The 13725-nt window shown below is 39.7% G+C and overlaps 1 protein-coding gene across 9 annotated transcripts in view; it reads left to right on the top strand.

The window, feature by feature from the left end:
- HERC2 (HECT and RLD domain containing E3 ubiquitin protein ligase 2) overlaps positions 1-13725 on the top strand; it is a 211140-nt gene that overhangs the window by 12931 nt on the left and 184484 nt on the right. For 7 of the 9 annotated variants that reach the window (XM_006720727.4, XM_006720726.4, NM_004667.6 and 4 more), the window contains one exon: positions 9733-9847. In XM_006720727.4, coding sequence (XP_006720790.1) covers positions 9733-9847 — 115 coding nt within the window. Of the gene's footprint in view, positions 1-9444; positions 9512-9732; positions 9848-13725 lie in introns of those variants that run through there. The other 2 variants (XM_047433206.1, XM_017022696.2) reach the window with 2 other exon arrangements.

Raw genomic sequence — 13725 nt, 5'->3', positions numbered from 1 at the left:
AGCATTGGACAGATCAGATCATCCAGACAAAATTAACGAAGAAACATCAAACTTAATCTGCACTGTAGACCAAATGGATTTAGTAGATATTTCTAGAACATTTCATCTGATGGCTGCAGAATTTACATTGTTCTCTTTAGCACATGGATCGTCCTCAAGGTTAGACCGTATGTTAGGCCACAAAATAAGTCATTAAAAATTCAAACCTTGATACTAAAAGCAGACAAAGACACATCAAAGAAAGAATACTACAGGCCAATGTCTCTGATGAATATTGATGCAAATATCCTCAACAAAATACTAGCAAACCAAATTCAGCAATACGTTAGAAAGATCGTTCATTGTGACCAAGTGGGGTTTATCCCTGGGGTACAAGGATGGTTCAACATATGCAAATCAATTGATGTGATACATCATGTCAACAGAAGGATAAAAACCATGTGATTATTTCAATCGATGCTGAAAAGGCATTTGATAAAATTCAACATCCTTTCATGATAAAATCTCTTAAAACTGGTTATGGAAGAAACATACCTCAACATAATAAAAGCCGTATATGACAGACCCACAGCTAGTATCATACTGAATGGTGAAAAACTGAAAGTCTTTCCTCTAAGATCTGGAACATGACAAGGATGCTCAGTGTGGCCACTGTTATTCAACATAGTACTGGAAGTTCTTGCTAGAGCAATCAGACAAGAGAAAGAAATAAAAGGCCTCCACATTGGAAAGGAAGAAGTCAAATTATCCTTGTTTGCAGATGATATGATCTTATATTTGGAAAAACCTAAAGACTCCACAAGAAAATGATTAGAGCCGATAAATTCAATACAATTGCAGTATACGAAATCAACATACAAAAATCAGTAGCATTTCTGTGTGCCAACAGTAAACAATATGAAAAAGAAATTAGAAAAGTAATCCCATTTATAGTAGCCACACATGAAATTAAATACCTGGGAAGTAACCAAAGAAGATAATTACAAAGATCTCTGTAATGAAAACTCTAAAACGCTGATGAAAGACATTAAAGAAGACACAAAAGATGGAAAAATATTTCATCTTCATGGATTGGAAGAATCAATATTGTTAAAATGTCCATACTACCCAAAGCAATCTACCGATTCAGTGCAATCCCTAGCAAAATACCAATGACATTCTTCACAGAAACAGAAAAAAAAAAAATCCTAAAATTCATGTTGAACCACAAAAGACCCAGAATAGCCGAAGCTCTCATAATTGAAAAGAAACAAACTGGAGGAATCAGATTACCTGACTTCAAATTATACTACAGAGCTATAGTAACCAAAACAGCATAGTACTAGCATAAAACAGACACAGACCAACGGAACAGAATAGAGAATCCAGAAACAAATCCGCACATCTACGGTGAACTCATTTTCGACAAAGGTACCAAGAACATACACTGGGGAAAAGACAATCTCTTCAATAAATGGTGCTGGGAAAACTTGATATTCATATGCAGAAGAATGAAGCTAGATTCCTCTTTTGCCATATAAAAGTTAAAAAAATTATGTTAAGTATCTTCTCTGATCACATGGACTATAACTAAAAATTGATAACGAGGAATTTTGGAAACTCCACCAACACATGGGAATTAAACAATATGCTCCTGAATGACCAACAGGTCAGTGAAGAAATTAAGAGTGAAATTAAACAGTTTCTTGAAACAAATGGCAATGGCAACACAGCATACGAAATCTGTGGGATATAGTTAAAGCAGTACTAAGAGGAAAATCAAAAAAGTAGAAAAACTTCAAATAAATAACCTAATGATACATCTTAAAGAACTAGAAAAGAAGGAGCTAACCAAACCCATAATTTTAAGGACAGAAATAATAAAAATTAGAGCAGAAATAAAATGGAGTTGAAATGAAGAAAATAATACAAAAGATCAATGAAATGAAAAGTTGGTTTTTCTAAAAGATAAATTGACAAGCCTTCAGGCAGGCTAAGAGAAAAAGAAGACCCAAATCAGAGGTGAAAAAGTAGGCATTACAACTGATATTGCAGAAATTCAAAGGGTCATTAGAGACTATGAACAGCTATATGTCAATAAATTGGGAAACGTGGAAGAAATAGATAAGTTTGCAGGCCGGGCGTGGTGGCTCATGCCTGTAATCCCAGCACTTTGGGAGGCTGAGGCGGGTGGGTCACTTGAGGTCAGGAGTTCGAGACCAGTCTGGCCAACATGGTGAAACTCCAACTCTACTAAAAATACAAAAATTAACCAGGTGTGGTTTTGTGTGCCTGTAATTCCAGCCACTTGGAAGGCTGAGGCACGAGAATCACTTGAGCCTGGGAGGTGGAGGTTGCAGTGTGCTGAGATCATGTTACTGCACTCCAGCCTGGGTGACAGAGTGAGACTGTGTCTTCAAAAAAAGAAGGAAAAAGAAATGGATAATTTCACAGGCACATACAGCCTTCCAAGTTTGAACCATGAAGAAATCCAGAACCTGAACATACCAATAACAGGTAATGAGATTGAAACTGTAATAATAAAAAGTCTTCCAGCAAAGAAAAACCCCAGGACCTGGTGACTTCACTGCTGAATTTTACCAAACATTTAAAGAAGAACTGTTACCAATCCTAGTGAAACTATTCTGAAAAATAGAGGAGGAGGGAATACATCCAAACTTATTGTAGAAGGCCAATATTACCCTGATACCAAAACCAGACAAAGACATAATCAAAAAAACAAAACAGGCCAGTATCCCAGATGAACATTGATGCGGAAATACCCAACAAAATACCAGCAAACCGAATTCAACAACACATTAAAAACATCATTCATCATGACCAAAGTGGGGTTTATCCCAGGGATGCCAGGATGGTTCACCGTATCCAAATCAATCAGTTTGATACATCATATCAATAGAATGAAGGATAAAAAACCATATGATCATTTAAATTCATGCTGAAAAGGCATTTGATAAAATTCAACATCCTTTCATGATAAAAACCCCCAAAAAACTGGTTATAGAAGGAACACACCTCAACGCAATAAAAGCCATATACAGCTGACACACAGCTAGTATCATACTGAAAGGTGAAAAACTGAAAGCCTTTCCTCTAAGATCTGGAACAAGACACGGATGCCCACTGTCACCACTGTTATTCAATATAATAATGGACTAGTTTACAGTCCCACCAACAGTGTAAAAGTGTTCCTATTTCTCCACATCCTCTCCAGCACCTGTTGTTTCCTGACTTTTTAATGATTGCCATTCTAACTGGTGTGAGATGGTATCTCATAGTGGTTTTGATTTGCATTTCTCTGATGGCCAGTGATGATGAGCATTTTTCATGTATTTTTTGGCTGCATAAATGTCTTCTTTTGAGAAGTGTCTGTTCATGTCCTTCGCCCACTTTTTGATGGGGTTGTTTGTTTTTTTCTTGTAAATTTGTTTGAGTTCATTGTAGATTCTGCATATTAGCCCTTTGTCAGATGAGTAGGTTGCGAAAATTTTCTCCCATGTTGTAGGTTGCCTGTTCACTCTGATGGTAGTTTCTTTTGCTGTGCAGAAGCTCTTTAGTTTAATTAGATCCCATTTGTCAATTTTGGCTTTTGTTGCCATTGCTTTTGGTGTTTTGGACATGAAGTCCTTGCCCACGCCTATGTCCTGAATGGTAATGCCTAGGTTTTCTTCTAGGGTTTTTATGGTTTTAGGTCTAACGTTTAAATCTTTAATCCATCTTGAATTGATTTTTGTATAAGGTGTAAGGAAGGGATCCAGTTTCAGCTTTCTACATATGGCTAGCCAGTTTTCCCAGCACCATTTATTAAATAGGGAATCCTTTCCCCATTGCTTGTTTTTCTCAGGTTTGTCAAAGATCAGATAGTTGTAGGTATGCGGCGTTATTTCTGAGGGCTCTGTTCTGTTCCATTGATCTATATGTCTGTTTTGGTACTAGTTCAACCATTGTGGAAGTCAGTGTGGCGATTCCTCAGGGATCTAGAACTAGAAATACCATTTGACCCAGCCATCCCATTACTGGGTATATACCCAAATGACTATAAATCATGCTGCTATAAAGACACATGCACACGTATGTTTATTGCGGCATTATTCACAATAGCAAAGACTTGGAACCAACCCAAATGTCCAACAATGATAGACTGGATTAAGAAAATGTGGCACATATACACCATGGAATACTATGCAGCCATAAAAAATGATGAGTTCATGTCCTTTGTAGGGACATGGATGAAATTGGAAACCATCATTCTTAGTAAACTATCGCAAGAATAAAAAACCGAACACCGCATATTCTCACTCATAGGTGGGAATTGAACAATGAGATCACATGGTCACAGGAAGGGGAATATCACACTCTGGGGACTGTGGTGGGGTGGGGTGGGGGGAGGGGGGAGGGGTAGCATTGGGAGATATACCTAATGCTAGATGACGAGTTAGTGGGTGCAGCACACCAGCATGGCACATGTATACATATGTAATTAACCTGCGCAATGTGCACATGTACCCTAAAACTTAAAGTATAAAAAAAAAAAAAAAAAAAAAAATGGAAGCCCTTGCTAGAGGAGTCAGATAAGAGAGAGAAAGGCCGGGTGCAGTGGCTCACACCTGTAATCCCAGCACTTTGGGAGGCTGAGGTGAGTGGATCACTTGAGGTCAGGAGTTTGAAGCCTGGCCAACACGGTGATACCCTGTCTCTACTAAAAATATAAAAATTAGCTAGGCGTGGTGGCGGGTGTCTGTTGTCCCAGCTACTCGGGAGGCTGAGGCAGGGAAATCACTTGAACCCCGGAGGTGGAGATTGCAGTGAGCTGAGATTGTGCCGCTATATTCCAGCCTGGGCTACAGAGCAAGACTCCATCTCAGGAAAAAAAAAAAAAAAAGAAGAAATAAAGGGCATCCAAATTGGAAATGAAGATGCCAAGTTATTCTTGTTTGCAGATGATTGTTATATTTGGAAAAACCTGAAAACTCCACCAAAAAATGATTAGAACTGATAAATTCAGTAAAATTGCAGGATACTAAATTAACATACAAAAATCTGTAGCATTTCTCTGTTTTTTTTTTTTTTTTTTTTTTTTTTTGAGATGGAGTCTCACTCTGTGGCCCAGGCTGGAAAGCAATGGCGCAATCTCGGCTCACTGCAACCTCTGCCTCCTGGGTTGAAGCGATCCTCCTGCCTTAGCTGCCTGAGTAGCTGGCATTACAGGCGCCTGCCACCAGGCCTGGCTAATTTTTGTATTTTTAGTAGAGACAGGGTTTCACCACATGGGCCAGGCTGGTCTTGAACTCCTGACCTCAGGTGATCCGCCTGCCTTGGCCTCCCAAAGTGCTGGGATTACAGGTATGAGCCACTGTGCCCGGCCAAATCAGTAGCATTTCTGTATGTCAACAGTGAACAATATGAAAAATCAAGAAAAATAATTCCATTTATAATAGCTACAAATAAAGTAAAATACGTAGGAATAAAACTAACCCAAGAAGTGAAAAGATCTCTACCACGAAAACTGTAAAACAGTGATGCAGAAAATTGAAGAAGACACACAAAAAAGGAAAAGATACTCCGTGTTCATGGATTGGAAGAATCAATATTGTTAAAATGTCTGTACTACCCAAAGCAATCTACAGGTTCAATGTAATCCCTATCAAAATACCAATGACATTCTTCACAGAAATAGAAAAAAAAAATCCTGAAATTTGTATGGAATCACAAAAGAGACAGAATAGCCAAAGCCATCCTGAGCAAAAAACAAAACTGGAGAAATTGCATTACCTGACTTAAAATTATACTACAGTCACTTCCTGGTCTTTTTTGGCTTAGATCAAGTGCAAAGTTTACTAGAAAGGTATACCAAAACAGCATGGTACTGGTATAAAAACAGACACCTAGACCAATGGAACAGAATAGAGAACCCAGAAACAGATCTATACATCTACAGTGAACTCACCTTTGACAGAGGTGCCCGGAGGATACGTGAGGGAAAGGATAGCCTCATTGATAAATGGTGCTGGGAAAATGGGACACCCATATGCAGAAAAATGAAACTAGACCGCTATCTCTCACCATATACGAAAATCACATCAAAATGGAGTAAAGACTTAAACCTAAGACTTCAGACTATGAAAGTGCTAAAAGAAAACATTGGGGAGACTCTCCAGGACATTGCACTGGGTAATGATTTCTTGAGTAATACTTCGTAAACACAGGCAACCAAAGCTAAAATGGACAAGTGGGATCACATTGAGTTAAAAAGCTGCACAGCAAAGGAAACAATCAACAAAATGAAGAGACAACCCACAGAATGGGAGAAAATATTTGCAAACTACCCATCTGACAAAGGATTAATAACCAGAATATATAATTAGCTTAAGCACCTCTATAAGAAAAAAATCTAATAATCCAATAAGAATGGGCAAAAGATTTGAATAGACATTTCTCAAAAGAAGATATACAAATGACAAACAGGCAGTACGAACAGGTGCTCAACATGGTTGGTCATCAGAGACATGCAAATCAAAACTATAATGAGATATTATCTCACCCTAATTAAAATGGCTTATATCCAAAAGACAAGAACAAATGCTGGCAAGAATATAGAGAAAAGGGAACCCTTGTGCACTGTTGGTGGGAATGTAAATTAGCACAGCCATTATGGAGATTAGCTTGGAGGTTCCTCAAAAAACTAAAAATAGGACTATCATATGATTCAGCAATCCCACTGGTAGGTATATACCCAGAGGAAAGAATATCAGTATGTTGAAGAAATATGTACACTCTCATGTTTATTGCAGCACTATTCTCAATAGCCAAGATTTGGAAGCAACCTAAGTGTTCCCAGCAGATGAATGGATGAAGAAAATGTGGTATATATACTCAACGGAGTACTATTCAACCATGAAAAAGAATGGGATACTGCCGTTTGCAACAACATGGATAGAACTGGAGGTCGTTACGTTAAGTCAGGAACAGAATGTCATGAGCCAGACCCAGAAAATCGAACTTTGCATGTTCTCACTTATTTGTAGGTGCTAAGCAAATGAAAGTAATTGAACTCATGGAGATAGAGTAGAATGATGGTTATCAGAGACTGGGAAGGATAAAGTGGGGGTGAAGTGCGGATGGTTAATGGGTATAAAAATGGAGTTAGATAGGGCTGGGCACAGTGGCTTACGCCTGTAATCCCAGCTCTTTGGGAGGCCAAGGCAGGTGGATCATGAGGTCAAGAGACCCAGACCATCCTGGCCAACACGGTGAAACCCCATCTCTACCAAAAATACAAAAATTAGCTGGGTGTGGTGGTGTGAGCCTGTAGTCCCAGCTACTCTGGAGGCTGAGGCAGGAGAAACCCTTGAACCCAAAAGGCAAAGGTTGCAGTGAGCTGAGATCGCACAACTGCACTCCAGCTTAGTGCCAGAACGAGATCCGTCTCAAAAAAAAAAAAAAAAAAGTTAGATAGAATATATAACCCATATATATATATATATATATATATATATATATATATATATATATACACATACATACAACTAGTGTGTATCCACAGAAGTTTAAAAAAAAAAAAAGATGGGCAAACATCTGTGTCTCTTTTAATTAAAAATGGCTTTTTTTTTTTTGCCAGACAAGGGAGCTTCTGTCGCATACGCAGTTTTCAGAATGGATGCCTTCCCCCAGTGTCTGAAATGCTCCCTTTTCCTGTTCTGGGAAGCCTTTTCTGACTCACAAATGTTGACAAGCAAAGGCGTTTTTGATTTTGATGCTCACAGTTATTATAATTATTATAAATTTGGTCAGGAGTCCCTATCAGTCTTTGAACAGCTGCTTTTTTTTTTTGTTTGAGGTAAAGTCTTGCTCTGTCACCCAGGCTGGAGTGCAGTGGCATAGTCTTGGCCCACTGCAACCTTGGCCTCCTGGGTTCAGGCTATTCTCCTGCCTCAGCCTCCCAAGTAGCTGGGATTATGGGCGCCTGCCACCATGCCCAGCTAATTTTTGTATTTTTAGAAGAGATGGGGTTTCGGCATGTTGGCTAGGCTGGTCTCGAACTCCTGACCTCAAGTGATCTGCCCGCCTCAGCCTCCCAAAATGCTAGGATTATAGGCGTGAGCCACCGCACCTGGCCATGTTTGAGGAAACAGCTTTTTCTTTGAGGAAACAGGCTCATCTTTGTCTGCCCTGGCCCTTGAATCTACTTATTTTCCCTAGAGCCCTAGCGTCTTTTATTGGGAAATGGTTCTGAGAGACCAAAATCTGGGTGCCGCTGTCAGATTGCCTTTGATTCTAGTCCTTTAAAAAACAGAGTAAGCAAATATATTCAAAAATAAAGTTCATAGATTTCCAATTTAAGTTGTTTTTCAAAATTTCTTTGATTTTTTTTCCTCTTTTCCACTGAAAACCTTAATTTTTTTTTTTTTTTTTTTTTTTTTTTTTTGAGATGGAGTCTCGTTCTGTTTACCCAGGCTGGAGCGCAGTGACATAATCTCGGCTCACTGAAACCTCTGCCTCCTGGGTTCATGCTAGTCTTCTGCTTCAGCCTCCCGAGTGACTGGGATTACAGGCATGCACCAGCACACCCGGCTAATTTTTCATATTTTTAGTAGAGATGGGGTTTCACCATGTTGGCCAGGCTGGTCATGAACTCCTGACCTCAAGTGATTTACCTGCCTTGGCCTGCCAAATGCTGGGATTACGGGTGTGAGCCACCGTGGCCGGCCTAAAACCTTAATTTCTAAGAACATTTAATACTTTATCATAAACATGTTTTATTGTATTTACACTGCTTTATTGTGCAACATGAAGTAGTTCTAAAATTGTGAGAGTGTTATCAATACCGATAAATATTTTATTTTTCATTATAGTATATTATATTAATGATATGTAGTTCAAAAGTCCCTTGACATACTTTTCTTTGTATATGCATGGGTTAATTTGCTTGTTGCCAGTTGTAGGTTTCGCTTTTTTATGATTTAATTTTAATTTTTGAGGATGAAAGTCATGTATGTTTCAGAAGTAAAGACATCTAAAGTATACTCACAATGTTGTTGCTTTTTCTGGTCCTGCTGCCTTTGTCCATGTCCCCTCCCCATTTCCCCGTAGGTAGTCATTGGTACTTGCTTTTGGTTTATCTTTTCAGAGCACATGCACGTGTGTGTGTTTGTGTGTGTGTCTTTTTTTTCTTTTCTTTTCTTTTTTTTTTTTTTTTAACACCGAGTCTCGCTCTTGTCACTCAGGCTGAGTGCAGTGGTGCGATCTTGGCTCACTGCAACCTCTGCCTCCTGGGTTCAAGCAATTCTCCTGCCTCAGCTTCGTGAGTAGCTGGGATTACAGGCGCCCGCCACCACGCCTGGCTAATTTTTTGTATTTTTAGTTGGGACGGGGTTTCACCGTGTTGGCCAGGCTGGTCTCAAATTCCTGATCCCCCGTGATGTGCCCCGCTCGGCCTCCCAAAGTGCTGGGATGACAAGCATGAGCCACCTCGCCCGACCACGTGTCATTTTTCTTGTATGTTACATAAGAGGTAGCATAGTATTTATACTATTATGCACCTTTTCATTTATATTTCTTGGATGACTTTCCTGAAATGTAAAATGATTAAATCACTAATTCAGTAAATCATTGATTTTATTACCAAATGATCGAATACATAAGGGGGATTGAGATTTTTTTCCCATATCATTCTTTAAAAATTGCAATGTGAGTGTGAGCACTCTGTAAGCTTATCTCGTTTATCATTGCCAGCTTGCATTCACAAGAGATGGGCTCTGTGGTCTGTGGAATGAAATGGTTAAAGATGGAGAAATTGTATACACTGGAACAGAATCAACCCAGAACGGAGAGCTCCCTCCTAGAAAAGGTAAGGGCCTTTAACTAGTGTTTTTTATTTGGTAAAGACCATTATAAAATGCATTTTATAGAAATTTTGTAATGTGCTATAGGAACAGGAGCTTTGAGCTTAACTCTTTGAAGTTTTGCTTTTTACTTTGGAGATTGTTGTCTAAAATGGTAGTTAATACAAGCTGCTCGGATTTTATTGTTTTACGTTAATTGAAGGCATTTTTATTGCAAAACCATCTTGCTGCATTTGTGGTGTTCTTTGGGGGTGTATTACACACTTATTGGAAGCCTTTGGCCTGCAAGGAAATGCCATTGAACAATCTTATTTAGCTTTGTAGTTTTGCATGCTCAGTAAGACTATCATTATGTTGTTCATAACAGTGGCTGTGTTTCAGAGTCCCCATTGAGGTTTAAAAAAATGGCTGCTTGTATACACCCTAAACTTGTTGAATCTGAAAAGATCCTTGGTTGAGAACCACTGTTGAAGTTCGTTGGTCCCCCTGCTTGAGAGTCATCAACGTGGATAAAGCTACCACTTTAGAAAGTATTTATTCTAAGTTGAAATAGCTCAGTTGGGAGAGCATTAGTCTGAAGAAAGTATTTCTTCTTCTTCTTTTTTTTGGGGGGGAAGGAGTCTTGCTCTGTTGCTGAGGCTGGAGTACAGTGGCGCGATCTCAGCTCACTGCACGCTCCACCTCCCGGGTTCATGCCATTCTCCTGCCTCAGCCTCCCAAGTAGGTGGGACTACAGGCGCCCGCCACCACGCCCGGCTAATTTTTTGTATTTTTTAGTAGAGACAGGGTTTCACCGTGTTAGCCAGGATGGTCTCGAGCTCCTGACCTCGTGATCCGCCCGCCTCAGCCTCCCAAAGTGCTGGGATTATAGGCGTGAGCCACCGTGCCTGGCAAGTATTTCTTCTTCTTTTGTGGAATGAATGGGGATGGTGTCCACTTGAAAGTACATGGGGATCGGGCGTGGTGGATCATGCCTGTAATTCCAGCACTTTGGGAGGCTGAGGCGGGCAGATCATTTGAGGTTGGGAGTTTGAGACCAGCCTGGCCAACATGGTGAAACCCCGTCTCTACTAAAAAATACAAAAATTAGCCAGGCATAGTGGCGGGCGCCTGTAATCCCAGCTACTTGGGAGGGCACGGCAGGAGAATTGCTTGGAGCCGGGAGGTGGAGGTTGCAGTGAGCAGATATTGTGCTACTGCACTCCAGCCTGGGTGACAGAGTGAGACTCCATCTCAAAAAAAAAAAAAACAAAAAACACAAAACAAACCATGGGAAAAAGTATTAGTCTCCCTTTTCAGTTTCAGTGTCAAGCAGAGTTACCTGTGTTTTTATTTTAATTTATTTTTTATATTTGTTTGAAAATATTCACACACACACACACACACACACACACACACACAATAACTGACAGACGTGTACAGTGAGTGGCTGCAGACCCACCTCCATGTTCTGCCACCGTATTTGGCTCCACATCCTGCTGTCTGTCCATCCACCGTTTGTCTCACCTAGCTCCTTAGACACTCATGTATGTAATTGATTCTAGTTCAACTTTGTTTTTGACTTTCAGGTAAAATTTGTATATAATGAAATGTATCTATTTTGAGTTTACCATTTCACAAGTTTTGACAAATGTAACCCATGTAACCCACATCTTTATCATGACTCTTGCTCAGAAAGTTCTCTGGTGTCCTGCCCCTTCTTCCCAGAGGCAATAGTTGGCCTGATGTTTCTCCAGCATTTGACAAATTGCGCCTGTTCTAGAACTCCATACATGGAATCACGTAGTCGGGTTCTTCTGTGTCTGGCTTCTTTCACTCTGTTTAGTGCTTTTGATTTTCATGTTTTTTTTTTTAAACAACATAATGGGTTTATATTTAATATAGCACTTCTCATCAGGAGGTGTTACTCAGTTAATATAAAGTTTTTTTAACATTAAATCTCTTTTCCATGTCAATGTCTATAGTGTTTTTTTTTTCTTTAACATTAAGTCTTTTCTCCATTTCAGTATTAGATACACTGAATACATTTTTCTAAGTGATTTTTTTTCTTTCCAGAGATAAAAGTTTCCCTTTTTGGCTGACTATTGGATATCTGAATTTGGGAGATGACAAAAGTCTAATAAAAATACAGAGAACAGACTCAGTGATTTAGGAGGCAGTGATTACGACTGAACAGTGGCGATTTCCTAGGATTCTGGGCAAAATCCATTTATGTACCAATTTGTTCCCATTTCATGGAATCAACTCAGAAAGTAAAACTCTCCTACTTAGTAATTCTTGGAAACTTTCAGACACCAAAGCTTACATTTAGTTTCAGTAGCACAAAGGTTTTCAGGGTGAGGTTTCATTCATTAGGCCCTTCAAAGTCACATCTGTTCATTTTTATCTTTCGTGCGTATGCCCGCAAGCAAGTACAAACACCTGTAATACTGAGAACCACACCTTTTAACGAGAGAGCAGTTGCATCACTGGCTTCCACTGCCTTGACAGCAGGCAGCACCAAAAGCAGTGACATAAGGACTAAGGACAATTGTGTTGAAACTGAGGTCATGATGTTGGGATTTTGAGGGCTGAATGTTCCAAGTAAGTGGTATATATAGAATTCTCTCTGACTTGAAATTTTCCCTTTCTGGACCTCTGGATGCTGAGGCTAAGAGTGTCCATATGACAGTGTCTTCCAAGACAGGAATCAGCAACCTTTTTTTTTTTTTTTTTTTATGTATCAGTAATTCATTCTGTATATTTTAAAAAGTTTTAACCTCTTCTTCCTAGCCCTCCAGTATTTGTTTATAAATTAAAATTTTTCCCAAAGTGTTTTCTGTGAAACAATAGTTCTAAAAGGTGCTCTAAGAAAAGCTAAGTACATGGCAAAATCCAAAGTATATGTTTTATTCATTACATTTGATGAATATTTTTTGTGTGTTTTTTCCTCTCGAGAGGGAGTCTTGTTCTGTCGCTCAGGCTGGAGTGTAGCGGCATGATTTTGGCTCACTGCAACCACTGCCTCCCCGGTTCAAGCAGTTCTCTGCCTCAGCCTCCTGAGTAGCTAGGATTACAGGCACCCTCCACCATGCCCAGCTAATTGTTGTATTTTTAATAAAGATGGAGTTTCACCATCTTGGTCAGGCTGGTCTTGAACTCCTGACCTCATGATCTGCCCACCTCGGCCTCCCAAAGTGTGGGGTTTACAGGTGTGAGCCACCATGCCCGGCCCACATTTGATGAATTTTTTTGTCCTTTGTTCTTTTAAAAATCATGATTGGAAAGCAGAGCATAATTGTTTTTTATGTAGATCCCAACTGATTCGGGGTGTTAGGGAGATATTTTGACATTCAATAAATGTTTTTGTTTTCCATTATTAAGACTATGAATATTTTATTTTATTTTCTGAGACAGGGTCTCAGAATTTGTCAAATATGTAAAATTTATAGCCAGATGTAGGGTGGGGGTGGCCTACTTTCTGTAAAGGGCCAGATAGTAAATATTTTAAGGTCTCAGTGGACCCTATGGTCTCTGTCATAGCCATGGGACCTTGCAGCTGTAGTGCCAGAGTAGCCACAGACAGTACTATGTCAGCGGGCAGGGGACGTTCATTCTGTAAACTTTATTTATGGACACGAAAAGATGAAGTCCACAGAATGTTTGCAAGTCACAAAATACTGTTTTTCTTTTGATTATTTTTCAATTATTAAAAACTATAAAATACGGTGGCCGGGCGTGGTGGCTCACACCTGTAATCCCAGCACTTTTGGAGGCCGAGGCAGGCGGATCACCTGAGGTCAGGAGTTCGAGACCAGCCTGGCCAACATGGTGAAACCCCATCTCTACTAAAAACAAAAAATTAGCTGGGCATGGTGATGCACGCCTGTAATCCCAGCTCCTT

This window comes from Homo sapiens, chromosome 15, assembly GCF_000001405.40.
Source record: "Homo sapiens chromosome 15, GRCh38.p14 Primary Assembly".
Classification (NCBI taxonomy): Eukaryota; Metazoa; Chordata; class Mammalia; order Primates; family Hominidae; genus Homo; species Homo sapiens.
This window is presented reverse-complemented; position numbering and strand designations above follow the sequence as displayed.